The sequence below is a fragment of the Homo sapiens genome, chromosome 8 (genome assembly GCF_000001405.40).
Source record: "Homo sapiens chromosome 8, GRCh38.p14 Primary Assembly".
Lineage (NCBI taxonomy): Eukaryota > Metazoa > Chordata > Mammalia > Primates > Hominidae > Homo > Homo sapiens.
Window position 1 is genome coordinate 23,529,973 of NC_000008.11, and position 27,293 is coordinate 23,557,265.

Below are 27,293 nucleotides of genomic sequence, written 5' to 3' on the forward strand. Positions count from 1 at the left end.
TCTGTCACTTGCCCCGGTAGTTTTAACTGCATTTCTGTAAAGAGGCAGCGTTACTAGGTGCGTTTTGCCTGGTAGACTGAGACCTGCCCTCTGTCAGCCTGCCCAGAACACCCCAGGGCCAGGATAGAGTAGTGCAGGAAGTAATGCCAGTATTGACTGTTACACGTTGCACTTTTATAGGCATAACTCGCCTAATTCATGCAACAGCCCTGGGGGTTAACAGATGAAGAAACTGAGGCGCAGAGAGGCGAACCGATTACCTTGCCCAGGCTCCTACACCACCTCCTATCCTCTGGCTGCAGCTGCAGTGTGCTTTGGAGGATTCGGAGGCCTCTCTAGGTGGCAATTATTTTGCAAGGCAGGTCCCACAGAGGCACCCCCAGCAGCTTTATCTTGTTGCTGATGCTGGTCCTGCATGAGCAGGTATGAAGGCCAGAAAGTATAACTCAGAGGGTTTTCCCGGCTCCGGGGAGCTCGCTTGGAGCCAGCAGTCAGTGTCTGGACAGGCAGAAGTCCAGTGAGGAAAGACATGGGCTTCCAAGGTGCTGCTGGACCTAAGCCTGAGCCATCACCCATATGTCCCTCCAGTGTCCCAGTGGGGAGTTAGAGGAATGGTTCTCATCTCCAGGAAAGACACTGGACTGATACCAGGTGGCATTTGTATGGGAAAGAATCCCTCAAATGTAATAAAATTCTCCATGATTGAAGCTGTTGTCTCAACTGCCCTGGGCAGAGTCTGGGGAAAGTTAGGAGCAGGGAGGTGTTATCTGAGCAGGCCCTAGTCCTACTGGTGTCTTGAGATGAATGTTCTATTCGGGAACCCCACAGTGAGTTCACTTTAGAGCATCATTTTAGCTTATTTTTAGGATTAGAAATAATTAGTTGTGCCTTCTGAGCACCCTTTGACACTCTCAAGAGGCGTTTCTCACACGTTTAAATTGTGTGATCTGTGTTTAGTTTCTCCCTGCCCCATACATGTTGATATGTTTTGGTTCAGATGTCACCTGTATACTTAGTATTACTTTCCATAGCAGTTTTCACCTGTGGACAGGTTAACATGGTGTGAATGGTAGAAGGAGCCGGTCTGGTTTTCCTAGACAAGTCTGTAAAACAAGGCGTGGGTTAGCTAATCAGTGAAGTCTTCTAGGTTCTGGGATTATAACTGACCCTTAGGGGCCCTTCCATGCTGAAGTGTGCAGGGTTGGTTTTGAGGCTGCCACTGAGTGCCAAGGTCTGCCAACATCAGCACAGTTGTCTGCCAAGCATGAGGAGTCAGGGGTGCATCCTCCATCATGGAAAGGCTTGGGGGAGACCACACCTGTGTTCCTCTTAAGTATTTTGGATGATGGCGAAGACCGGGAGTAACTGAGTCAAGAAACCCGGGTTGGGCTTCAAGCCCTGCTCTCACTTGCTTCATGCCTCGGGCACTGTTCTGTGCCTTAGTTTTGTCACTATAAAGTGGGGACAGTGGACCTGCTCAGTCCCTCTCCACATTTTTAACCCATGCCTCGTTTCTCTGAACACACAACACCCATCGTCCTCTTTTATGTTACTTGAAATATCAAAAGAATTATTACAGCTGAAAACAAATCTATGTAAATCGGATCTTGAAAGAGAGAAAGCTTTCTCCAGTTTTGAAAGGCGCCATTTTTAACTTTGATCTTGTAATGACAAATAAGAATGTTGAATCGGCTGGCTTTTTTCTATCCTAGGTAATGTGGACTGTGGAGCTCTGTGCTGGTCACTTTCAACCCTGAACCTGATGCTACTTATTTTGCAGTTCTAAGTGCAAAGTCGGCCTGGTGGATGCTTCCCATTATAATATTAAATTTGCTTCTTCGTGAGGTCACACCTCACATCCCCAGTGTCACTTTAATAACTAGTGTTTTTTACATGGTGGGCCATGACCCATTAGTGGACTCTGCATTTAAAAATAAATAAATAAATAAAAGAAGTTATTAGTGAGAGTGTAAAAATACGGGTGTGCCTGGCATGCAGTGGGAGAAATGTTGAAATTCTGTTTGGGTTGTGTGTGTGTCTCTGAGTGCATTTTACAGACGTGTACAATGTACTTCTGGCTGGGAGTTGTGGTCAAACAAATATGAAAACCACTGAACCTGAGAAAATATCTCTGGAGCCCCAGCAGGCAACACTGAGATTATGAAATGGGTATTTGGAAGACCTTTGGCAACTTTCCTGCTGCTTCCTGTGTCTTCTTCTTTCCCTTGGTCCTCCCATGGTGGGATGTGAGCACTCATTCATCCATAAAGGGCCAGTCTACTGGGACCTTTGGCTGCCCCTGCGATGACAGTGAGCAGCAAAGTGATACCCAGGGAGGGAGTATAGGGTCTCTGCAGGGCTCTCACCAAATGGTGGCAATGACTTACTCCTGTCTAGGCGGGGTCTGGTGGCAGGTTTTCCATGAGCCTCTTTCTGGTGTTCCAGAGTGGCAAGGGGCACTTGGGGTGGATACAAGAACCCCTGGTCTGATCAGGAGAGCTCAAGACTTGAGGAGCATGCCAGGTGGGTGGAGGAGGAAATTCCAACCAGATTAGGCACACCACTCGGAGACCATGCCGAGTCCCGCCTGGGGAAAGCAGGGGCAGAAGGAAACAGGAAAGATTTGAAGCCGGGGGACTTCCGCTGACCCTTTCACAACCCTTCTTTTGCTTTGCTGTTGGGGGAAACCCTGCCTGTGACTCTCCTAGGATGAGCCCTCCTTCCCAGGTTGGTGCACCACGGAGCGTTCCCTCTAGGAGCCTCCTGGCTGACCTTATGGTGTGCACAGCCAGCCTGCCCAGCTCAGCAGAGCATTACCTCAACTTCTGACTTCTCCTCTTCTGAGTTTTCTCCTGGCTGCAGGCAGACTGGTAGGAAGGGTGCTGGGGGGCAGTGCAGGCAGCTGCCAGAGTCCCCTCCCACCCACTTCATTGCTTTCCAAACAAAGTGCAGTTCGGTCCATGCCATTCAGCTTCAGAAGGGCGTGAAATCCCAAATTGCTCTAGTTCCTGGGACAAAACTATAATGATTTTTCTCTCTCCCTTCTTGTCTCCTCTCCCTCACATCCCCCTGCTCCCTTCTTTTCTCTCCTTTGATGAGAGGTGATTTTCTTAAAAGGCGAATTTGGAACGAGGAATCAAAAAAGGGGTATTTGTGAGCTGCAGTCCTGTTCCTTGTTTCATGAACCCCCAGGCAGCCATGGCCTGTACCCCTCAGGCCTACCCTGAGGAGTGTGAGAACCTCATCCACTTTTCTCTGCCCTAAATTGGGGAGGGGCAGGCTGGAGCGTGGTTTGGAGGCGCGTGCCCAAGAGTACTGTGAACAGCAAAGGGGGCCTCAGCTTTTTAGTAGGGAGAGGTATTTGGGGTTGAATGGGAGGATTTAATCAGCTGCTTTGCTTAAACTATACAGGGGTGTGCACCTGGGGTGGGGGATGTGCGTGTCACCTGGAAGGGAGGAATGTGCTTCCCAAACCTTTTCCTGGCTTCCACTTGGGCACGTTTCAGCTGCATGTGGCCATCTCATTAGAGATGAGTTTTGTCCTGTCTTGCAGCAGTGACCAGTCTTGGGGAATCAGTTCCACTTTCTCTGTTTTTTAGTCTTGGGCTTCTGACTCTCTCTGACTTCAGGGGTTTCCTTCTTCTGACTCATCGGATGAACTCACCTGCTGGTGTGGAAGCCTTCAGCATCTTTCTTGAACCCCAGAGCTTTTTGGCTCTTTTCCTGTCTCCACTAGTACGGAACCTTTTCTTGTCAAAGAATTTGTGTTTTTGTTTTTGTTTTTAATCCGAAATACCGGCTGTCATGTCCCATCCATGCTGGCCACAGACATACCCCTGTGATCATGGTGTTGGCTGGACCATGCCAGGATGCATGGCTTTGCCACTCCCATGCCCACCTTGAATGTTGTGTCTGATGTTTGTCATAGGAGGGGTATATCCAATCTCTTTCTCTTTTTTTTCTCCCTCTCTCTCTCTTTTTTTTTGTTTTTTTGAGACAGGGTCTCGGTCTGTCACCCAGGTTGGAGAGTAGTGGTGTGATTGCAGCTCACTGCAGCCTTGACCTCCCAGGGCTTGAGTGATCCTCCCAGCTCAGACTCCTGAGTAGCTGGGACTACAGGCACATGCCACCATGCCTGGCTAATTTTTTTGTATTTTTTTGTAGAGATGGGGGCCTCAATTTGTTGCCCAGACTGGTCTTGAACTCCTGGGCTCAAGCGATCCTCCCACCTTGGCCTTCCAAAGTGCTGGGATTACAGGCATGAACCACCATGCCCAGCCTCTTTCTTTTTGTTGAACTGGAAACCTTCCCTAAAGTTCCCTCAACCTTCCCTCAAGTTCCTACTGAGATGGATTTCCCACCCTTAGAGAACTATCTTGGGGTTCAAATTCCAGTCTTTGACTTACTGGTTGGGCAGGACACTTAGCTTCTTCATGTCCTTACTTGTCAAATGGGGATCCTGATTTTCTTCCTGCTTTCTCTTTCCTGACCCAGCTTTCCATTGCTTCTTTCCCACTTCTCTCATTTTTCCAGTGGGCCTTGTGGAAGTTCCTTGTTAACAAGCTCCCTTACATCTTCCCCTCTTTACCGAATGTTTCTTTCACTTCCCCCTCCTGATGGAAATCCAGCTCCTCTTGCTAAGGGTTGGGAGCATGGACCCTTGAGTCCAAATCCCTGGACCGGGTCCCATTTCCCAGTTAGGTGTGACCTTGGGCAAGTTTCTTAACCTTTCTGTGCTATTTCCCTATCTGTAAAAAGAAGAAGAGATGGTACCGATCTCCCAGGGTGGTTGTGAGGAGGGTTAAGCCCTCGCTGCACTTCACATGCCTGGTACACGCACAGAACAGTTGATACTCTCTGATGTCTGCTCTCATCTTTATCTTCATCATCATCAGCATGATTGCCATCACTTTCTCTCATTCCCTGAGGACTCTGGCATCTGATGCACAGACTTCACCTCCACAGATCCCGTCCTCACCCTGAGGATGGCCCCTCTTCGTCCCCACCCGACTCAAGTCCAAATCACTCCATTCCTTACACCTCTGAGTCAATGGCCTTCACCTCCATGGTCCCTTGACCTAACTCAGAATCTTCCTGAGATCTTAAATCCAGATTATTATAGCCTGGACCCCAAGATTGACTGCTGCAGCTGCTGGGGCCTTTAGTTTCTCTGCCTTTGGTTCTTCCAACCCTGGCTTGCCCCACCTGGGTCCTGGACAGCCCATCTGTCCCTTGGGCAGCGAAGCCCTTCAGGGGACATTCACACTGCCTCCAATGCGCATGCTCCCTGGCCTCAGCTCCACATGTCTGGGCAGCTGCTTGCATCCTTCACGAGGGTCCTGTTGCCCCTTAGCTCCCCACCCTATTGTTGTCAGCCTCAGCCTGGCATCTTGCTTCCATGTCATAGGGAAACCAGGACCTCAATCAAACCCATCTTCCTGTCACTGTCCTTCCAAACTCTCTTGCCTTCTACCCCCACTATAAGGGAACAGGTGTCTTCATTCCTTTAAGGTATATCAATGTGGCAGAGAAGGGAGATGTATACAAACCACCTTGACACCAGGATTTGAATACTGGCTGCACACCTGGGCACATTACCTAACCTCTCTAAGCTCAGGTTCCTTCTCTGCAAAGTGGGGATATGAATACTGTATTAGTCTGTTTTCAAGCTGCTGATAAAGACATACCTGAGACTGCGTAATTTATACAGAAAGAGGTTTAATGGACCCACAGTTCCACGTGGCTGGGAAGGCCTCACAATCATGGCAGAAGGCAAAAGGCACATCTTACATGGTAACAGACAAGAAAGAGGACAGAACCCAGTGAAAGGGGTTTTCCCCATATAAAATCATCAGATCTCGTGAGACTTATTCACTACCATGAGAACAGTGTGGGGGAAACTGCCCCCATGATTCAATTACCTCCCACTGGGTCCCTCCCATAACACGTGGGAATTATGGGAGCCACTATTCAAGATGAGATTTGAGTGGGGACGCAGCCAAACCATATCAAATACCAAGAGCTATTTTATAGGGTTGTTGTAAGAATTAAATGAGGCAACATATGTAAAGTTCTTGCCACAGTGCGTGGTGCGTACGTTGTCAATAAATGGTGATGGTGATGTCATTTTTGTCCCCTCACTCTTGAGTGACTCGGTTCCAGGATCTTTAGGCTTCCTGCTCCATTGAGTTTTTCTCAAAAGTGTTTCTACAGATCCAAGCCCATCCTGTCTTAAATAAACCCCAGACTTCTCACCTTGACCTCACATGCACCCCCAATGTTTCTTCCCATAAACAAACTGTTGCCCCTTTTTTTCCTCCTTAAAACAACACATGTTCTGAAAGAACTATTGACACTGGTCTCTACTTCCTCACTGCCACCCCTGCTTCCTGGCTTTTGCACTGCCCAGCCGCAGCCTCACAGAGACTTCTGGCTACCCATCATCTTCCTGGCCCACCCTGCTGCCTCTGTTCCTGCCAGGGGCACCTCCGAGAGGGGGTTGGCCCTGCGATCCTCAGTTTTCCTCTTTGGGCATGGCTTCTCCTCAGGAATGTGCCCTTCCACCTCATTTTCCCCAGCACACATGCCTCAGTTTCCTCCTGGGACCTGATGGCTCCCAGATCACTATCTTGGGCCCAGACTTTCTGGAGCTGAATCTCCAGTTGCCTCGGAGCCTCCTCAGACTCAGTGTGGCCAGAATGGTGGTCCTGGCTTCCCCTCGGGCCTGCCCTTCTGCCTCCTTCTGCACCCTGGGATGGTCATCAGCTTTTCTCCCACTGCTGCCCTGTATGCAGGGAAGGCCTGCCTGTGGCTGTATCTGTAGTACTTCTTGAATGTGTTTCCTTCTCTCCCTCCCCACAGCTACTTACTGCCTTGGTTCAGGGACCTGGATGTCTCCTCTTCCTTGAGATCCCAGACTGCCCAAGTTAAAAGTGAGTTTAGGCCGAGCTCAGTGGCTCACGCCTGTAATCCCAATACCTTGAGAGGCCGAGGTGGGAGGATCACTTGAGGCCAGGAGTTGGAGACCAGCCTGGGCAACATAGCGAGACCCCATAGGTACAAAAAATAAAAACATTAGCTTGGTATAGTGGTATGCGCCAGTGGTCTCAGCTTCTTGGGAGGCTGAGGTGGGGGAATTGCTTGAGCCTGGGAGGTCGAGGCTGTAGTGAGCTATGATTGGACCACCGCACTCCAGCCTGGGCAACAGAGCAAGACCCTGTCTCAAAAAAAAAAAAAAAAAAATGAGATTACTCTCCCCTGCCTCACATTTCCCTATTGCCCATTGCTGCTTTGTTTTTCTCCCCAGCAGTTGTTACTTCGTAACACACACCATCGTTTATTTATATTGTTTACATATTTTACTTATATTTATAGTATTATTTGTATTGTTTATGGTCTCTCTTCCCTCATCAGAATGTAGGCCCCAAGTGGGCAGGGATGTATGCTCTTCTGTTCACCACTGTATTCCCATTGCCAGAAACACAGTAGGTGCTCAGTAAGTATTTGATGGAGGAGCTTCTGCAGTTCATTCTGCACGTCAGCCATGGCTGGTCCTGCTCTTCAGCCTCCAAGCCCAGCAGCTTCCTGGTGGGCTGCAGTTTTCTCATCGGAAATAGAGAAGAGTAGCAGTGCCGATTCTGCCTCCCTTGCAGGTCGTTTTAGTGCATCTAGTTGGAAAATACAGGCAGGTTTGCAGGGAACACAGTTTTCAAAGTGTAAAGCTCAGTGCAGGTGCTAGGTCATGGTGTTTTTTGTCACACTGGGATCCTGCGGGAGAGGTAAGTTTAGCTGATTGGAGTGGAAGATCCAGCCCATTCTTCGTGGTGCCTGCCGCAGAGCCTGCAAGCCTGCAGAAAGACAGGGAGTAGCCACGTCTTTCTGTAGTTCACACCTGTGTGTCTCCCCACCTGATAATCCCTCAGCACTTCTGTTTGCCTTGCATGTAAAGCCCGACCTTTGCATGGCAGGCACACAGACTGAAACTCTTTCCTCCTCCAGCCTTTCTTGGACTCATCCACAGAATGACAAAGAAGTATTCTGTGAATATTGGTTGAATGAAGGAAGGCACGGCTTTTTAAAAAAGATGAAAAAAAAAAAAGTTATGAAAAGCTTTAAAACTTGCTATTGGCTGGGCGTGGTGGCTCACACCTATAATCCCAGCACTTTGGGAGGCCGAGGCGGGCAGATCACCTGAGGTCAGGAGTTTGAGACCAGCCTGGCCAACATGGCAAAACCCCGTCTCTACTAAAAATACAAAAATTAGCTGGGCGTGGTGGTGGGTGCCTGTAATCCCAGCTACTTGGGAGGCTGAGGAAGGAGAATCACTTGAACCTGGGAGGCGGAGGTTGCAGTGAGCCGAGATCGCGCCATTGCACTCCAGCCCGGACAACAGAGCGAGACTTCATCTCAAAAAAAAAAAAAAAAAAAAAAAAAACCAGAAAAAAAAACTTGCCATTAAACAAATTCCAGTTTTGATTTTTGTTTTGCATTGGTTTTGAATCCATGCATGTTATGGCCACAAAGAAGACTTTCTTGGCTCCGTTGTTTGTCGTGTGTGTGTGTGTGTGTGTGTGTTTGTGTGTGTGTGTAGAACCCAGCAAGCAGCAGCTATACCCCGATGAGGCAATGTCTTCATTTGGCCACTCATGTCATTCCACGTTTCCTGAGTGCCCTCTTGGCTAGGCACTGTGCTAGACACTGGGCTACAAAAATAAGAATGCCTGGTCCCCGTTCTCAAAGTAAGCGTGCTTCCTATAATTAGACCCTGAGCTAAGGCGACAGAACCAGCTCCCTTTCAAGACAAGAGTCGCCTGTCTTGACGGACTTTCAGATGGGCTGGAAGAACAAGGTCTGGCGTGTATGGACTCTGAACTGCTCAAGCTGCTGCCGTCTTGCAGGTCTAGAGCCTACAGGGTAGCGTCATTCTAGTTTCTTTGCTGGGCACTCTGGAATTTGTTCTTTCTCCTGCGAGAGACAGTGGTCCTCAGTTGTGTTCCCTCCCCACCATCCTCACCCTCCCTCCCACGGTGGTTAGTCATTCTGGAGGCTCAAGTTGGCTCACAGAAGGTGCTCTTGAAAACATCCCCCACCCTCCTCGTAACCCCAGACAGTCAGGAAGGGCCGTTGTCGGGTACTAAGAGGTGTTATGGTTTCACATTCATGCTTTCTCTCTGAAGAGAAAACAAAACATGTTGAAATAGGGAGAAATCCCAGCAGCAGCTTGCTTGAAGCAAGGGTTGCATAACAGGTCTAGGAAACGTCTGGCCGTGTGGGTCAAGTTGAGGGACTGCAGCCTTGTGTCACTGAGGGAACTTCTTCCGGGTCCACCGAGCCTCTGGATCCATTAGATCCATCCAGAGAGCCACTTGGAAGGCTCTGGGACCTTGAGTTCTGGCTGGCCACGTGGTCTGTGATGGCTGTCACTGGTGAAAGAGAGACCCTGGCTGATATTTAGCCAACAGTGTTTATTCCCTGGCATGACCAGAAAGGGTGCATTTGAGACACTGCTGTGGGTGGGGGACCCGGAGGAGTGTTTGTGTGTCAGACTTATGCTGGTGTTGAGGCCCTAGAAAGGTCACCAAACTGGGGCGGGGTGTGGGCCCCGTGAATTTAAGTCCTGGTCCTGCCATTAACCAGCTTGGAAACCTTGGGCTAATCATTTCTCTGGGCTAGTTTTCTCCTTGTGAATCTAGACTAGTGTCATCTACTTTACCTTTTTGACAGGGCTGTTGGGAAGCTTAGGTGAGATAGATTTGTGAATGGCTCTTGCAAACCTTAACATGCAAAGCTAATGACAGATTGTATCAGAGGCAATGTGCTTGATTATTAGAGCTGTTTAGGTTAACAGCACAACCTCTGCAGCCAGACTGCCTGGAGTGGCACCTGGTCAAGTTCCTGAAACCTCTCTTTGCCTTATTTTTCTCATCTATAAAATGGGGCTAATAACTTTACCCATTTCAGTGTTGCTGTGAGAATTAATTGAGATGATACACCTAGAATGTTAAGGCACATGGCAAATGCCCCATTAATATCAGCTCCTCTTGTTATTTCTAAAAGTATTACTTCAATGCCTGGGTATGTTTATATATTGCTGGTGCAATTGTTAATTTTATATTATTTTTGTATTGTTAGCTTTTATTTGGTCATTTGATCCTCTTAGCTCTCCTTTGAAGGTGAGAAAAGGCAGGTGTTGTTTCTCATTTCATATTTGAGAAAACTGAACTTCAGAAAAATTACATGCCCTAGAACTCGGGCCTTTTTCTGCTCCAGAGCTGAAAGCGAGAGAAGAGAGGAAGGGAATTAGGCTGGAGCAAGCCAGTAGGATGTTGGATGCAGACTCAGATGTTAATGGCAGCAGAGCCCTTGAGCTGGATTCTAGAATATGAGAAAGGGCTGAGATTGATGATGGGGCCCAGCTGCATTGTTGGGATGGAGGAACCAGAGTTGAGTCGAGGGAGTAACTCCAGGAAATCATGGCACCCAGAAAGTGTGGCACAGAATGCAGGGCTCTAACGTATAGTTAGGAGTTCTTTGGGCAAGTACTCCAGCAAGCAAGGAAGAAGGATGATGACATATGGTTATTGCCACAGGATATTTTTGGCTGCGTCTGGCTTCTCTCTCTGAAACAAATTGCAGTTGCTGTGACACCTTCTCATTTCAGCAGTGAGTCGAAGTTGCACTCAATATAGTGTTTTGAATTCGGACTAGTCGTGAAGATTCCTTTCCAGATCATAGTATATGTATATAAGTCACTTACTGGGAAGAGCACTACATCATAGTTCCGTGGTCCACTAAGGCTGCAGTTTTCTTATCTGAAATAAGGAGGGGTAACGGTGCCCATCCTGCCTCCCCTGGCAGGTCCGCTTACGCATGTAGTGAGAAAATACAGGCAGGCTTGCAGGGAACACCGCTTTAAAAGTATAAAGCTCTCTGTGCAGGTGCTAGGTCATGGTATTTATTATCACACTGGGATCCTGTGGGAGGGGTAAGGTTAGCTCATTGGAATGGAAAATCCAGGCTCTCATTCCAGCACTAGGACTCAGTGCAGCTGCCTGGCCTTGGGCACTTAACCTCTCTCCTTACAGTGTCTCCCATCTGTTGAGCCAAGACAGGGTGGCTGTCTGCTGCCGCCCATTTGGCTGGCTAATGAGGAAGAGCCAGTGCTGCTCACAGCATGCTCATTTCGTGGTAATGTAGACAGGGGATAGTAGTGGCTGCGTGTAGCAGAAACCAGCAGGGTAGGACCGGATGAGCCCACCTTCAGGGAGGTGTACCCAGGGCTGTTAGTTTGAGGACGTCTGTGGGATTTTATATCCTTACTCTTATTTTCCAAGAAAGTCTGTCCCTTTGAGCACCAGGCAGATGAGTCTGGGGACGCTGTGAGGAGGGGTCCCCCAGGAGCAGGAAGGTGACTAATGATCCCGGAAGAATGACTGTGTGTGTTTGCAGACGCCTGGGCTCTTCCCCAGTTTGGCCTTTCCCGTCACTGTTTTCCTCACTTGCTTAAGAGGAGAAGGAGGTAACGCACACAAGTGCCTTTGTCTCAGGGTCCCCACGGTGCCCATCTTGAGGGTTTTGCGGGCGCCTTGCATTGCCTAAGGCCTGGCTTTAGAAGCAGAACATGGAGAGAGAGGTTTGCAGCCTGCAGGAAGCTGGCCAGCCAGACCTGCCGGGCAGCGGGACCCGCGGGCAGTGCCTCTGACTCACGGCACGTCCTTGATACGCAGTGCTCCCCTCCCCACTTTCTCTGCCCTCCTGTGGATCACGGGTGTCCTAGGGCTGTTGGGAGCCTGGATTAAAGTTGCTGAGTGGCCGGCTGATGATCAGATCCAGGGAGTCAGACCAGAGGTGGGGACATCTTTTCAAAGGCAAGAAGATGCTGCCAGTGCGTGTATATACATATGAGGGTGGAAGGGGTAAACCCAGGGTGTGTCTTTAACTGAAGAATCAAGAAAGCTGCTTTCCTTAGTCACCCGCCTCTGTGGTTCGTTTGCTAAACGTTGGCTTGCGTTAGCCTGATTCACAGTAATGTGGCTCCCAAGGAAGATTCACATGGTATTTGTGAAAATGTAGCTTCATCCCCTGCCCTTCATTGAATGACTGAATTACAGTCAGCACCACATAACGATGTTTCGGTCAACTATGGACTCCATATGTGATGAGACAGTGATCCCATAGATTATAGTGGAGCTGAAAAATTCCTATTACCTAGGGGCATCACAACGCATTGCATTTCGCCCGTGTTTGGGATGATGCTGGTGTAAACCTACTATGCTGCCAGTCATGTAAAAGTATAGCACACACAATTAGTAGGTAATGCTTGCAAATAATAATGAAAGACTCTGCTACTGGTTTATGTATTTACTATGCTATACTTTTTGTCATTACTTTAGAGTGTACTCCTACTTTTTTTTTTTTTTTTTTGAGATGGAGTTTCACTCTTGTCCTGTAGGCTGGAGCGAAGTGGCGCGATCTCGGCTTACTGCAACCTCCACCTCCTGGGTTCAAGCGATTCTCCTGCCTCAGCTTCCCAGAGTAGCTGAGATTACAGGCATGCACCGCCACGCACGGCTAATTTTGTATTTTTGGTAGAGACAGGGTTTCACCATGTTGGCCAGGCTGGTCACCAACTCCTGACCTCAGGTGACCCGCCCTCCTCAGCCTCCCAGAGTGTTGGGATTACAGGTGTGAGCCACCGCCCCTGGCCTTTTTTTTTTTTTTTTTTTTAAGTTAATTGTAAAAGAGCCTCAGGCAGGTCCTTCAGGAGGGATTCCAGAAGAAGGCATTGCGATCACAGGAGGTGCCAGCTGCATTGGGACAAGATGTGGAGGTGGAAGACAGTGATATTGATGATCCTGACCCTCTGTAAGCCTAGGCTAATGTGTATGTTTAAGAAAAAAGTTTAAAAAGTAAAAAAATAAAAAATGTTAAAAGGAAAAGCTTATAGAATAAGGATATAGAGAAAAAATATTTTTTGTAGAGCTGTACAATGTGTTTTGTGTTTTAAGCCAAGTGTTATTACAAGAGTCAAAAAGTCAAAAAATTGAAATTTATAAAACAAAAACATTACAGTAAGCTAAATGTAACTAATTAATTTTATTTATTTTTTTTTTTAGAGACAGGGTCTTGCCTTGTCGCCTAGGCTGGAGTGCAGTGTTGAGATCATAGTTTACTGCAGCCTCGAACTCCTGGGTACAAGGAATCCTCCCTCCTCAGCCTCCTGAGTAGCTGGGATTACAGGTGCGCACCACCACACAGCTAATTTTTAAATTGGTGTAGTGAAGGAGTTTCGCAATGTTGGCCAGGTGGTCTCAAGCTCTTGGCCTCAAGCAGTCCTCCTGCCTCGACCTCCCAAAGTGCTAGGATTACAGGTATGAGTCACCACGCCCAACCTTGAAATTTAATTTATTATGGAAGAAAGCAAAAGTTTAAAAAATAAATTTAGTGTAGCCTAAGTGTACAGTGTTTTTAAAGTCTACGGTAGTGCACAGGAATGTCCCAGGCCTTCACATTTACTCACCACCACTCACTTAAACTCACCCAGAGCAACTTCCAGTTCTGCAGGCTCCATTCATGGTAAATGCCCTACACAGGTGTACCATTAAAAAAAATCTTTTGGCTGGTTGTGATGGCTCATGCCTGTAATCCCATCTCCTGGCTTCATGCCATTCTCCTTCCCCAGCTTCCCGAGTTGCTGGGACTACAGGCGCCTGCCACCACGCCCAGCTAAATTTTGTATTTTTAGTAGAGATGGGGTTTCGCTGTGTTAGCCAGTATGGTCTCGATCTCCTGACCTTGTTTTGATCTGCTTGCCTCGGCCTCCCAAGATGCTGGGATTACAGGCGTGAGCCACTGCGCCCAGCAAAAAACGATGTGGTATTTTCACTGTACTTTTTTTTTGTTATTGAGACGGAGTTTCACTTTTGTTGCCCAGGCTGGAATGCAGTGGCAGAATCTCGGCTCACCGCAACCTCTGCCTACCGGGTTCAAGCAATTCTCCTGCCTCAGCCTCCCGAGTAGATGGGATTACAGGTGTGTGCCACCACGCCCGGCTAATTTTGTATTTTTAGTAGCGATGGGGTTTCACCATGTTGGCCAGGCTGGTCTCGAACTCCCAACCTCAAGTGATCCACCTGCCCTAGCCTCCCAAAGTGCTGGGATTACAGTTGTGAGTCACCGCGCCCAGCCTTCACTGTACTTTTGGTATATTTAGATTCATTTAGATAACAAATACCATGGTATTCCAGTTGCCTGCAGTATTCAGTACAGTAGCATGCTGTACAGGTTTGTAGCCTAGGAGCAACACACTATAGCGTACAGCCTAGGTGTGCGGTAGCTATCCCCTCTCAATTTGTGTAAGTACACTCTGTGATGTTCACAGAAGGATGAAGTCACCTAACAATGCATATCTCAGAACATATCCCCGTCATTTGCGATGCGTGACTGTAATTAAGGAATGGGGCCTATGGGGTATGACTGTGGGTGCTGGGCACTAAGGAGACGGAGGCTTGACACAACCCAGGCATTCCCCATGGGAGCCCCTCTGTGGCAGGAAGGACAGATCTCCAATGAATCATTCCTTTCAGGAGTGATGAGCTCAGTCTTCAGGGATCCTGCACCTCACGGGGAGGAGTTGGGAAAGGCCCCCCGAGGAAGGAATATCTCAGTATCTCTATCTAGACCTGAAGGAGATGTGGATGTTACAACTAAACTGTATGATTCTCTGTGTCCCTGAGAACATCACAGCCTATTTCCAAGGTGCCTGGCCATCCCCAGGGTGCCTGCATGCCACTGACACTCTAATCTGGGGTTCTGCTCTGAGCTGAGAAAGTGTCTGTGGTTTGGGGTCATCAGGTGGCAGCTCTTCTCCTCTCTGTTCTGAAATCTTAATTCCCTGTTTGACTGCCTGGTGGCTTTCAGAGAAGCCCAGCCTCCTCCCAGGTGGGAACTTTCACTGTCGAACTAAGGACCCGAGGAGGGTGGAAACAGGAGGAAGGGAGGCTAAGCGGTCACATCAGAGGCATTTCTGCTCATCGTTGGCTCATAATAGGTGGCAGTAGGGGCTGGTGGAGCAGTGGCCAGGTAAGTTGCTAAAAATAAAACATGCTCATGTGACGTGTGCAGGTTTAGGGTTTGCCTGAGTGAGCTTTCCTGGTCCAGGTCACAACTTGTAGGGCAAAGAGAGACTTGAGGATGGTGTAGGCGACAACTGTGCCTTCCAAAGGTCAGAGATGGACCTGGGATCTTGTAGTACCAGGGCCTGCTCTGGAGGCTCAGATTCGTGTGTCACTTCTTGTCTCTTTTGAAAGGTAACTGGAGAGCTGGACACTTTCCTGTCCTCTCTCTTTCCTTGTAGCCTTCCTCTCTCAGAGATGGCCTGCTATCAAATGCCAGGGGCACAGTCAGCTGGGCTTGGTAAAGGGCCTGAGATGAGAGCTTGGGGACTTTCCCACTGGAGTCCATGATAGTCCAGGGTGTAGACAGAAGCTCTTGGATCTCACAGCTTTGGAAACCGAGTCCTGTTTCTCCAACAGGCCAGTGCGGTGACGGGCACAGACCTGCTGTCCTCTCTATTTGTGTGTCCACTGATTCCCTGGCACAGGGGGTCTTTGTTACAAAATCTCTTTGCTGGGTGCTTTGAAGGAGCACGTGTGTGGGCCTTTTTCAGGGTGGTTAGACAATGCCAAGCTGTCACTCAGAAGAAATGGTCAGGATAGAAGCATAGAAAATGCCCTGTGGAAATGTAGATGAGTGTTCTGGCTCACACCTGTAATCCCAGCTACTCAGGAGGCTGAGGCAGGGGGATTGCTGGCGGACAGCAGTTCGAGACCAGCCTTGGCAACGGAGCAAGACCCTAACTCTAAAAATAAAAATAAAAAAATAGGCCGGGCGCGGTGGCTCATGCCTGTAATTCCAGCACTTTGTGAGGCCAAGACGGGTGGATCACGAGGTCAGAAGTTTGAGACCAGCCTGGCCAACATGGTGAAACCCCGTCTCAACTAAAAATACAAAAATTAGCTGGGTGTGGTAGCAGATGCCTATAATCTCAGCTACTTGAGAGGCTGAGGCGGGAGAATCACTTGAACCCGGGAGGCAGAGGTTGCATTGAGCTGAGATCATGCCATTGCACTCCAGGCCGGGCAACAAGAGCAAGACTCTGTCTCAAGAAAAAAAAAAAAATTGGTTTTGTGTGGTGGTGCACACCTGTAGTCCCAGCTACTCAGGAGGCTGAGGTGGGAAGATTGCTTGAGCCCAGGAGTTTGAGGTTGCAGTGAGCCGTGATCATGCTACTGCACTCTAGCCTGGGTGACAGAGCAAGATCCTGTCTCTAAAAATATTAAAATGAATAAATAAAAGAACAGAAAATGACCTGTGTGGGGAGAAGGGTTATCTGTGAAAGGAGTTAGAAACCTCAAGTGTACATAAGTAAGACTGGAGATCTCTCTGTTAATGAAATTGTGCTTAAAAATTTTTTTTTCTTGAACCTTGGCTTCTCAGGCAATAACTGAATTTTAAGGTGTGTGTGTATATATATATATAGGTATATATATATATAGGTGTATATATATATATATATATATAGTGTATATATATATATATATATATATATAGTGTATATATATATAGTGTATGTGTGTGTGTGTGTGTGTATATATATATATATTTGGGCCAGGAAGGGTGAAGTGTTAAATTGCCTTACTTAGAAAATTAAGGTAGATTTGTATTTAGCCCTTAGAGCTTCAAAAATATCAGCTCAGAAATGACTTTTAATTGTGCAGGTGATAAAATCACAAGAAAAAAATTCATCTACAAGTTGGAATGACTCTTAGCTACTTATTTGTTTTTAAATTTTTTTTTCAAATTTTGGAAGGAAGTAGAGAAGGAGTTAGAACTGTAATTTGCTATTATGGGGGTTGGGGTGCAGTGCGTATTAGTACAATGTTAGGTGGTGGCAGGTTCCGTTTATCCTTGGAATTAGCACTGCTCCCCCCACAGGCTTCTGGGAGTTGGGAGCAGGCTGGTTGGTGACGCTTTGCCTGGCCTTGGATAAGAACTCTTGTTTTCAAATTCCCTTGAGGTCTCTTCCAAGAATCTTTTGCATTTTTTCTGATAAATCAATCATAAGGAAGTTTCTGAAATTCTCTTTCAGACCCTACAACCCACAAGTTACTGCAAAGCTGGGCTTCTACCAGAAGTGAGTGATTTGAAATTGAAAACAGATTTCGGATCTCACCTGAGTAGCTCGAGTGTAAGGGAGGGACTGGGAGAGCCACAGAGAACATTTGTCAATCCAGAACCAACCATTCATGGTGTTGCTTGACTGGAGGGCAGGGAAGGAAAGGACTAGAAGCAAGGCGAAAGCAGATCTTTCTGTAGATACACACATATAAGTCTTGGATTTGCATTTTAGGGTGAATTGTAATTAGCTTGAGATGACCAGGGGCCCACCAATCAAGCAACTCTGGGAAAAACACTTGTCTACATCTTAAGTTTCTTTGTCTATAAAATGTCAAGATTGAACTAACACTACATGATTCTCTCGGGAACTCACCAGTTCTAAAATTTCCACTCCTTCTTTTCACAGGGCAGTGTAACTTTAACTCCCTGTTTCAACTTTGGGTGTAAAATACAGGCTCACAAGCACTTTTGCTTTGCAGCGGAAGCTAGGAAGACCCTGCTGTGGAATTTTGCAGAGGGGCTGAGCAGTGGTGGGAAGGACCAGCGGCCCATGTACCATGTTGGGCCCCTGCATTCCAAGGTGTCTGCCTAGAAATAAATGATAGTTTATTTAACATACTTGTAACTTCCAACGACAACACTTCAAGACTGCAAATCATCCATCCGGGCAATTACAGAAATGCTGAACGGCCACAGCCCCGCCCTGGAATCAAGGGAAGAAGTGTGGCAGATGCTTCTGGAAGGCTCTGTTTACAGCTCTCTGACTCCTTCCTGCCAGAACCTTTCACAAGTTCACTACCAGGAAGCTGAGTCATCCAGGGGTCAGCCGGCATGGCCAAGGTCACCCCGCACTGCCAGCAGCACAGATGGGGTTAGCCCATCATTCCAGAGGAGCATCCGTGGGAATGATGGGGTTGGGGAGCTGGGGAGCCTCCCTGCAGCATCTCCCTGCCATGGTGTTTTGCATTTCCTGTAGATTTCGCAGTGAGAAACGGTCTCCTCTTATATTCACTTCATTTCTTCTCTCTTTCTTTCTTTCTTTTTTTTGAGATGGAGTCTGTCTCTGTCACCAGGCTGGACTGCAGTGGCGCGATCTCGGTTCACTGCAACCTCTGCCTCCCGGGTTCAAGCGATTCTCCTGCTTCAGCCTCCTGAGTAGCTGGGACTACAGGCATGTGCCACCACGCCCAGCTAATTTTTTGTATTCTCAGTAGAGATGGGATTTCACCATGTTGGTCAGGATGGTCTCAATCTCCTGACCTTGTGATCCACCCGCCTTGGCCTCCCAAAGTGCTGGGATTACAGGCGTGAGCCACCACGTCCGGGCTTTTTTTTTTTTTTTTTTTAGACTTGTTGCCCCCCCAGGATGGAGTGCAGTGGCGCAATGTCGGCTCACTGTAACCTCCACCTCCTGGGTTCAAGCGATGCTACTGCCTCAGCCTCCCAAGTAGCTGGGATTACAGGCATACACCACCACACCCGGCTGATTTTATAGTTTTAGTAGACACTGGGTTTCTCCATGTTGGTCAGGCTGGTCTCAAATTCCCGACCTCAGGTGATCTGCTCACCTCAGCCTCCTAAAGTGCTGGGATTACAGGCATGAGTCACTGCGCCTGGCCAAAGGCAAGAGATGAGGACCATATAGATGGAAACACAGCATTAAGGGTAAAACACTCTCTCTCTGCTCTGTCTGGTGTTCAGGGCCCAGCATGGGCTGTATGTCCTACACTTCGTTTCAGGCTCATCTTCAGGTGACACCAGCCTTCTCGGAGCCTCTGTCCACATCCCACCTGTCACTACCTCTGCCCTAACTTCACCTTCAGTGGTCACTGCCAGGACCCCTCCCCAAATCTAAATGAGGTCCCCCTGCATTTGCCCTCATTGCACCTTCTACTTTTGCTTCATGGCATTTAGAGTTTGGAATTTTTTATCGATAGGATTTTTAGTACTCTCTCTCTCCTCTACTAGACTATAAACTCCTTGAAGGCAAAGACGACACCTGCTCCCTCAGTTCCAGCAGCCCCTAACACTGCGCTGACATTTAGGTAGTAGCAGCGTTTTCTTGCAGAACGATCCTGTAGTTTTACCAGCTGAGACTTCTGTGGTCTGGGGAGTCACTCATCTCTGGTCCCTGCCTCCTCCTCTCACTTTTGGAAACCCTTCTGGCCAGACGGCTTTGGTTTAAATTGTATGCCGGAGCTCTTGGTTCCAGGGAGAGGGTTTTAGCGTAAAAATCTCACTCATGATGGAAGGTTCCTGCTATTACCTTTTGCATCCAATACAACTTAAATTGACTCCTCCAAAAGCTTCGGAAGTAATTTGTACCTATTGTCTAGCATAAATTCAGCAAGTGGGTCCCGGAGGCTGAAAGTCGAGTCTTGCGGTTGTTTCCTCTGGTGTTTCTCCCTGAGACCCTTAGAACGGCAAGCCTGGTGCATCTGGTGTCCTGTCATCTTTCTCTGTGATTGTCATCAGTGTGAAAGGTGAAAGGTGTGTGGAGAAAGAACATCCCTTCGAGCTGTGGCTTAGAGCTGTGACTTGGCACCACGTGGTTAGTCACTATCAAGTTAGAAGCCTTTGTGGGAAATCTGGCTTTGGTAGGATCTGGGAAATTTGGACCCCTCATTTGCCCCCTGGCATCTCTAAATTCCAGAGCCCAGCTTTGATGGGGCTTACATCCCCAGCTGTTAACCTGTGGGGTGGGCCCCAGACTGTGGCCAGGTGCATTGCGCTAGGGGAGACAGATCCACAGCAGGCAGAATTTGAGGAGGACTTAAAATACCTGCTTTGGGAGGCCAAGGCGGGCAGATCCCCTGAGGTCGGGAGTTTGAGACCAGCCTGACCAACATGGAGAAACCCTGTCTCTACTAAAAATACAAAATTAGTTGGGTGCGGTGGCACATGCCTGTAATCCCAGCTACTTGGGAGGCTGAGGCAGGAGAATCGCTTGAACCCGGGAGGCGGAGGTTGTGGTGAGCCGAGATCAAGCCACTGCACTCCAGCCTGGGCAACAAGAGCGAAATTCCGTTTCAAAAAAAAAAAAAAAAAAAACACAAAAAAACAAAAACCCGCTTTGTTACCTGCCTGTGGGTGGAATTGAGTTCATCTCTGAATCCGTGGTAGTCATTTATTGAGCACGTGTTTTAGTGAGCATGGCATGGCGCTGGCTCCGAGATCACAGTGCTGCCGCCCTCCTTCACGTTTCTCTGACCTTTCATGGGAGTCACATGCAGACGCATCACTTGGTATAATTATACGTGGAGGAATGAGCAAGAGGAGGCTGGCGACGGGACTGCTTTAAAAATCCCTTCTTCTGTGGATAATAGGCTAATAGCGGGGTGTGCTTTAGAAGGTGTGGCCTCCGCCAAGGGCGTGGGAACTGCATTTGTAGAAGCTGGGAGGACCACACCTGGCTTGGGAGACGGCATGGGTTTCTGAGGTGCCTGGCTCCCTGGCCTGTCCAGTGTGGACAGCTTACGCGCAGCTAGGTGAAATGATTGTGCAGTTGCTGAGGGATTGGGTGGCAGAGCTGGACAGAATTTAGGTCTTCTAACTTGGAACAGGGCTGTGTCCATCTTACCTAGGTGTACAGTTTGGGGAGCACTGCTGTTTGGTCTAGTGAGACACACTTGGTGTAAATATCTGTGCCCTGTAGTACCCAGATTCCAAGGGACCAGAGAGCATGCCCGCACCCACGGGCTGGCGGGAGCCCAGGTCCTCCAGGGCTGCTGTGGAGCATGGGCTTCTTGGTGCCCAGTCCTATAGCTGAACTTGGGCGGCCTCTGGCTGTTGCCCCCAGGGCTGGTCTCCCTATAGTTCAGAGGCGAGCCAGCTCTCAGCAGCAGGGAGGGCCTTTTCCATAGTATGAACTTGGCCACACCAGACCAGTCAGCAGTGTCGGGAATCTTGGCCCTCAAGGTCCCTGCCTAGCCCTGGCCTGGACTTCAGCACTGGTCAAAGGTCCCCAGAGCTGCCCTTGGCTCTGAGCAGGTGAGTGAACTTCCCAGAGCACTTTTGTCTGGGCCTCTGTGCCAGTGTAAACTGATAATAGTGATTTCCCTGCCCCACCTCTCTGCCAGCTATCTAAGTTTTCTTTGTTACATAATCAGGATTAATTTAAGCAGCCTAGGCCATCCATTTAGAAATGGTTAGTGAAGAAAGGTGAATGGGGAGGGGTCAGAGTCCCTTAGGGGGCCACCAGGTGCGAGTCCCCTTGCTCTTTGGGGCCTTGGTTTCCCTTCTGTGAGTTGGGGCAGCTGAAGGGAAGGGCTGCTCAGGTGGTCCTGCCACATCCCAGTGTTGTGTCTAGTGAGTACAGGTGAGAGTGCTCCCAACCAGGGCAGATCCTGCTGCTAGGCAGTGAGTCAGGAAGGAATTGGTAAAAATGACGTCATTGCTAAGAATGACGTCTTTTTTGCTGTTTATCCAAAGGAAAAAAAAAAAAGCAGAAATAAAAGCAGCAGGCAGCTGTCCACCAGACCCCATGCAAAGGGCTTTTCCTTGAATCCTCACAGAGACTTTAGGCAGTAGGTGCCATTAGGAGCCCCACTTACAGATAAGAAAACGGGGGCAGAGAACTGAAGTGAGTCGCCCAAGGACACACATTGAGGAGGAAGCAACAGAGCTAGGATTTAGATACAGAGGGGTCTCCAAGCCTGTCCTTCCAGCTTTGAGGTCCTGGGCCTATATATTCCATCAGAAACTGAAAGGTGTGTTGGGGGGTACCTAGGGTCAGGATGGGGTTTTATTTCTGTCCCTTCCTTGTGATGCTGCAGGGACTGTGACCTGGAGTTCCCAACACCAGTGCCCTGTGGCTGGTAGCCTCCTCCTGGGACTCCAGGATCTATTGTTTGATTTAGCCATTTTCTTCTGTAGTCCGATGGGAGGGATTCAATTCAAACCTGCAATACTGTTCTTTGGGCCATACAGGCCATTTATCAGCAAGTAGAGAAAAACACCCACACCTTCTAGCAAGATTAAGCTAGTTCTGTGGTTCTTAATGATAATTTAAGCCATTTTGATTAACCTAGGTGGTGGTTTTCTCCCTACCAGGTAGGGAATATACTGGAGCCTTTCTAAAAATAGTTCCGGTGAAGATAAACATTTATTGAGTACCTACTGTACTCCACTAGGTGAATACAAGGATTTCTCGTTCATCTCAGGAAGCATGGTTAGGGGATTTTACAGACGAGGGAACTGAAGTTCAGGGAAGTTAAGTTACTTATCCAAGTTCATATAGCTGAAAAATAGAATAGGATTTCGACCTTGTGGTAGGTGGAAACCGGGGTTGTCTTTGTGCTCTCAGGCATGTGGCTGGCGTGGGGTAGAAGCTCTCTATATAATGGTTGAGTGACTGGATGAGCTTCAAAGCTGGTCCCTCTGGCTTTTCCTGCTACCCCAGGCCACGTGCCCAGAAGGAACGCTGTCTTACCTGGGAGGTCTTTATTGACTGTTTGACGCCCTTCCCATCCTATCCCAACCCCTTCCCCATGGCACCTAGTTTCCCCAACCAGAACGTACGTTACTTATGGGCAGAGACGGTCTTTGAGCATTGGGTGGGTGGTTGAACGCAGTTTCTTTGAGATTCTGTGATTGGGATTTTCAGCAAAATATGGTAGCAAGTTGGTCAGAGGGGCGAGTCTGGCAGTGGGGGAGCCCGGGCAAGTCTAACTGTTTGCTCACTGGCAGAACAAAGTTGGGGAGGTTGGAGGGGTAGGGGAACTGAAAGCAAAAGAAAGCTCACAGGGAGCCCCATCGTGCAAAACCGATGATGGCAGAGCTGCCGGGCTGCAGCGTGGAGCGGGGCGGGAGCCTTGTGTGGAGTCTGTGAACATACTCTAGGTGCCTGGATACTCCTCTTATCTCCCCACACATGGGTTGATGTGCATGTACGGTGCTTTGATGTGGACTCTTGTGTTAAATTTGTTCTTCTGCGCAGCTTTGTGACGCTTCAGTGAGTGTGTCTATATACAAAAGGAAAACAGTTTTGGCTGGGTGCAGTGGCTCACGCCTGTAATCCCAGCACTTTGGGAGGCCGAGGTGGGTGGATCACCTGAGGTCAGGAGTTTGAGACCAGCCTGGACAACATGGTGAAACCCAGTCTCTACCAAAAAACACAAAAATTAGCCATGTGTGGTAGCATGCGCCTGTAATCCCAGCTACTCAGGAGGCTGAGGCAGGAGATGGCTTGAACCCGGGGGCTGGAAGTTGCAGTGAGCCAAGTTCACGCCATTGCACTCCAGTCTGGGCAACAGAGTGAGACTCCGTCTCAAAAAAGAAAAAAACAAAAAACAAAAAAAAAACCAACAATTTTGAGGATGAGGCATTTCTTCCTTACTTATGAGTGGGATGTTTATGGGCCGGTGACATTGACAAGGCTGGCAGAGTCAAGGGGAGGCCCTGGGTAGTCTAGCTTACTAGCAGTGAATTCAGTTCTCTCTTGAAAGCACCGTGACTGTTGGAATATTTCAGCCTTAGCCTTTGAATACTGACGGAGTGCCAGGCTTTCGTCTGTCAAGATGCCCCTCTGTGACCTCAGCTGGTTAATGTCTCAAGCGCTTCTTTAGGAGACAGAATGGGTTGGTATTGAACCAACCACTATTGCCCAGTCTTGTGATGACCAGGGTTGTGGAACAGATAAGTTGTGTGACCTCCACGGGTCAGGGCTGTTGACTTTGCCTGTAAGTTACACTCTTGCAGCTGGGCATAGACACAGTCCTCAGGGGTTTTGTGGACATTAACAAGTAAGGATTTAGGTGACTCTGACATAGGGTCTTCCCCAAGGTCAGGCACAGAGGAGGTGGCATCCATGGGACTTAGCATGTTGTAGAAACAGAGCATATTGGGACAAAAGGGAAGTTGAAGATCACCTGGGATCCTTTAGCGTCCATCCCTTTGTGAGAGATAGGATAGCCTAGTTGTTAACAGCATGACTCTGGCCGACCGCCTGGCTTCTTTCTAGTCTTCCTTCTGTACTTTGTGACCTTGAGGCAAGTCATTTGGTCTCTGTGCCTCAGTTTCCCAATTTGTGGAATGGGGATAACTGGTTGCTAATATTGCTGTTTTTATTGTTATAATTATTTTGTAAATAGAAGGGTTGAAGGTTCAGGGAAGCAAGTTGATTGACCTGAGGCCATACAATGTATCAGTGCCAGATGCAGGATGAGAAAGAACTGTGACTCAGGCCCTGTCCCTCTTACCAGGGCAGGGCAGGACAGGGAAGCTGGGCAGGAGAGACTGGCAGCTCAGTTCCCTCTCCAGTCCAGGGTAGTCCCTTCCCTTTCTGTCTCGCAGTGAGGTCACCAGTTGCACTCATGAAATCTTAGTCCTGTTATCTGGCATCTTTGGAATTTGCCCCACCTGTAGGGCAGAGATAACTTAATCCTTTTTGGTGGGCCACATATGGGATATTCTGGGTGTGTTCTGGGTACACTGGGCATGGGCCAGGCACAGACCCTTCCATCCATTGGAGGCTTTTCTAGAGAAGGGGTGGAGACCAGATTGGGTTCCTAGGGTCGGGGGATGTGGGAATGGCACCCTCTGAACTACAGGCAAGGCTGGGAGCTGCTGCCAGTGGGCGGAGAGGGAAATCTAACTGGTATGTGATGTTAGTGGTGGCCTGGCAAGCAGCTGTAGCTTTGGAGAGAGCGACCAGCCTGTCCAGGGGCCTGGTAGGGAAGGCTTCTGTTGCACGGCCTGTTGCTTTCTCTCAGATACTGGAGAGCCCATCTGTCTTGCTTACTGCATGGCTTTTCATAGCTCCCATCATATTGCTGTTGGGTGCGATTCATAGCCATGGAAGACACCTGATCATAAAGTAAATTCCACACACTCCAGCAAGGTATTCAGGGCCTTGCATGGTCTAGCCCCACCCTACCTTTCTTCCAGCAAACAATAATTGATCATCTAAGGTGGCAGCTTCTCTCCTAAGTCTGAGGCTGCTTCTCTACCCTCACCTGACTGCTGTCTTCTCTGCACACCAGACCTTCCGGCCACAGGTCCTCATTCCCCAGATGCACCAGCATGTTCACATCCTCCTGCAGCGGGAATTGTTTTCTTCCTCTCCATGCCAAATTTGTCTTTTTCTTTCCCAGTCAAAGTAACATATGTACATAGTCACAAAATGAAATAGTGTAGAAGAGATTGTAGTGACAGCTCTAATTCTTACAGCTTGACATACTCTTCCTTTTTCTAGGTGGCTGTTCAAATGGCTTCCTTCCAGCCACCTTCTCCAGGTTGGATGTGATCTGGACTCTGGATCTCTACCCTATAGCACATCCTGCTGTGACCTATTCCAAGGAGAAGGGGGGTTTGGTGCTGGGGCTTCTCTCCTAGGAGGCTGAGGAACTTGGTTATTGCTATCTTAGCAGAATTGTTATTTTCTACCAAATGTGCAATGAAAACTCTTCACTGAGTCTTTTGCCCCTAGCAATAGCAGTGCTTCCTGAAGCCCCAGTAGACCCTGAAGGTTTCAGGACTGTGTCTGGAGAGCATCAGTGACAGGTGGCAGGAATCCTCTGTGGTCCACTTCAGAGGCGGCAGATGACCAGGAGGTCAGACTGTGGCTGGTCTTTTCAGAAGGACAAACGTGACCCTTCTGAAAACTGGGACCATTCGGGGACATTGGTGGAAAGACAGAGGAGCCTTTATGGTTTGTTCTCACACATATGAATCCACTTTCTCCCCCCTCCAACATCAGGGTGACCTGAACGCTGAAGGAAGTCTAGGCCTTCCTGTAGGTGAGGCAGGGAAAGCCACGTAGACCTGATTTAGTTGAAGTGTTTTCCACCAGGTCTCAACTCTTCATTTTGTCTTGGTATAGCTTTTCTGGCTGACTTTCTAGCAAGCTGGTTGGGCTCTTTGCTTGTTCCAAAATGGTAGTTTTCACCAGAGACTTTTCAGATGAGCAGGAAGCTTTTTTCAGAATGTATGTTCTTCTAACTCTGCTTGAGTCCCCCGCCATGTATTCTGATAGGCATTTGTTTTCCCACCCCATCCCCCACTTTTTTGAAGTGGGGGCAATGACTACTTTTAGGGGAATCATTTTTCTGTTGCTGGTTTCAAAACATTAAGAGCACCAATTTTTTTTTTTTTTTTGCAACAGAGTCTTTCTCAGGCTGAAGTGCGGTGACATGATCATAGCTCACTGCAGCCTCAGTCTCCTGGGCTCAAGTGATCCTCTCACCTTAGCCTCCCAAGTAGCTAAGACCACTGGCACCCACCATGCCTGGCTAATTTTTTTAAAAAATTACTTTCTGAAGAGATGGGGTCTTGCTATGTTGTCCAGACTGGGCTTGAATTCCTGGCAGCAAGTGATCCACCTGCCTTGGCCTTCCAAAGTGCTGGGATTACAGGTGTGAGCCACTGCACCCAGCTCAAATTTTCCTTTTCATTAAAAACATACATATATGTATATGTATGTATATACATATGTATATATGCATGTGTATATATATGTGTGTATATGTATATATGTGTGTATATATGTGTGTGTGTGTATGTATATGTATTATATGTATATTCTCTTTGTGTATTTATTTTTGCCAGTTTGGGAGATGTTAGAAAAAGACACGATTTGGAAACTTCAACTTAGGGATAAAGTTAGTTATACTCTGAGAGCTGCAGTTAAAGGATTATTTGTGCTGCTCTGCTCTTGCCTGCGACGTGTGGGAATGATGCTGAGTGATGTCCTCCTGCTTATTTTGCGTGATTTTTTTTTGAGACAGATTCTCGCTCTGTCACCCAGGCTGGAGTGCAATGGTGCGATCTTGGCTCACTGCAACCTCCACCTCCTGAGTTCGAGCGACTCTCCTGCCTCAGCCTCCTGAGTAGCTGGGATTACAGGCGTGTGCCACTACACCTGGCTAATTTTTATATTTTTAGTAGAGATGGGATTTTGCCATGTTGGCCAGGCTGGTCTCGAACCCCTGACCTCAGGTAATCTGCCCGCCTCGGCCTCCCAAAGTGCTGGGATTACAGGTGTGAGCCGCCACACTTGGCCAATTTTGCATGATTTTTACATGGCTTTTCAAAGGGCCAGGGTGGGACTATCCAAAGCCCTGTTAAGAGTCCCTCTTCTGCCAAGGAGCCTAGGAAGGGAGCAGGTTTGAGTGAGG

At 48.4% G+C, this 27,293-nt stretch overlaps 1 protein-coding gene across 6 annotated transcripts in view, besides 4 other annotated features; it reads left to right on the forward strand.

Moving 5' to 3' along the window:
* The window catches only part of SLC25A37 (solute carrier family 25 member 37), a 46,508-nt gene that overhangs the window by 1,017 nt on the left and 18,198 nt on the right, over positions 1–27,293 (forward strand). The window contains exon 2 of one of the 6 annotated variants that reach the window (NM_001317814.2): positions 6,862–6,932. The exons of 2 other annotated variants lie outside the window; for them this stretch is intronic. Coding sequence is in view for 1 of the 4 variants with exons in the window: in XM_011544550.3 (XP_011542852.1) it covers positions 14,020–14,031 (12 nt within the window). In the remaining 3 variants the exon portion in view is untranslated. Of the gene's footprint in view, positions 1–6,861; positions 6,933–13,115; positions 13,240–14,008; positions 14,032–26,999; positions 27,022–27,293 lie in introns of those variants that run through there. 3 more of the 6 variants (NM_001317813.2, XM_011544550.3, XM_006716352.4) reach the window with 3 other exon arrangements.
* Positions 18–87: an enhancer, noted in NCBI's record as "active region_27120". NCBI's record gives its function as "activates an Ori minimal core promoter by ATAC-STARR-seq in GM12878 lymphoblastoid cells {active_cell/tissue: GM12878}" and the evidence as "EXISTENCE:reporter gene assay evidence [ECO:0000049][PMID:35858748]".
* Positions 12,299–13,080: an enhancer, noted in NCBI's record as "H3K4me1 hESC enhancer chr8:23399784-23400565 (GRCh37/hg19 assembly coordinates)". NCBI's record gives its function as "activates a minimal SCP1, AML or CMV promoter by ChIP-STARR-seq in primed H9 embryonic stem cells {active_cell/tissue: H9 hESC(primed)}" and the evidence as "EXISTENCE:reporter gene assay evidence [ECO:0000049][PMID:30033119]".
* Positions 20,372–20,873: an enhancer, noted in NCBI's record as "H3K4me1 hESC enhancer chr8:23407857-23408358 (GRCh37/hg19 assembly coordinates)". NCBI's record gives its function as "activates a minimal SCP1, AML or CMV promoter by ChIP-STARR-seq in naive H9 embryonic stem cells {active_cell/tissue: H9 hESC(naive)}" and the evidence as "EXISTENCE:reporter gene assay evidence [ECO:0000049][PMID:30033119]".
* Positions 22,797–22,966: an enhancer, noted in NCBI's record as "active region_27121". NCBI's record gives its function as "activates an Ori minimal core promoter by ATAC-STARR-seq in GM12878 lymphoblastoid cells {active_cell/tissue: GM12878}" and the evidence as "EXISTENCE:reporter gene assay evidence [ECO:0000049][PMID:35858748]".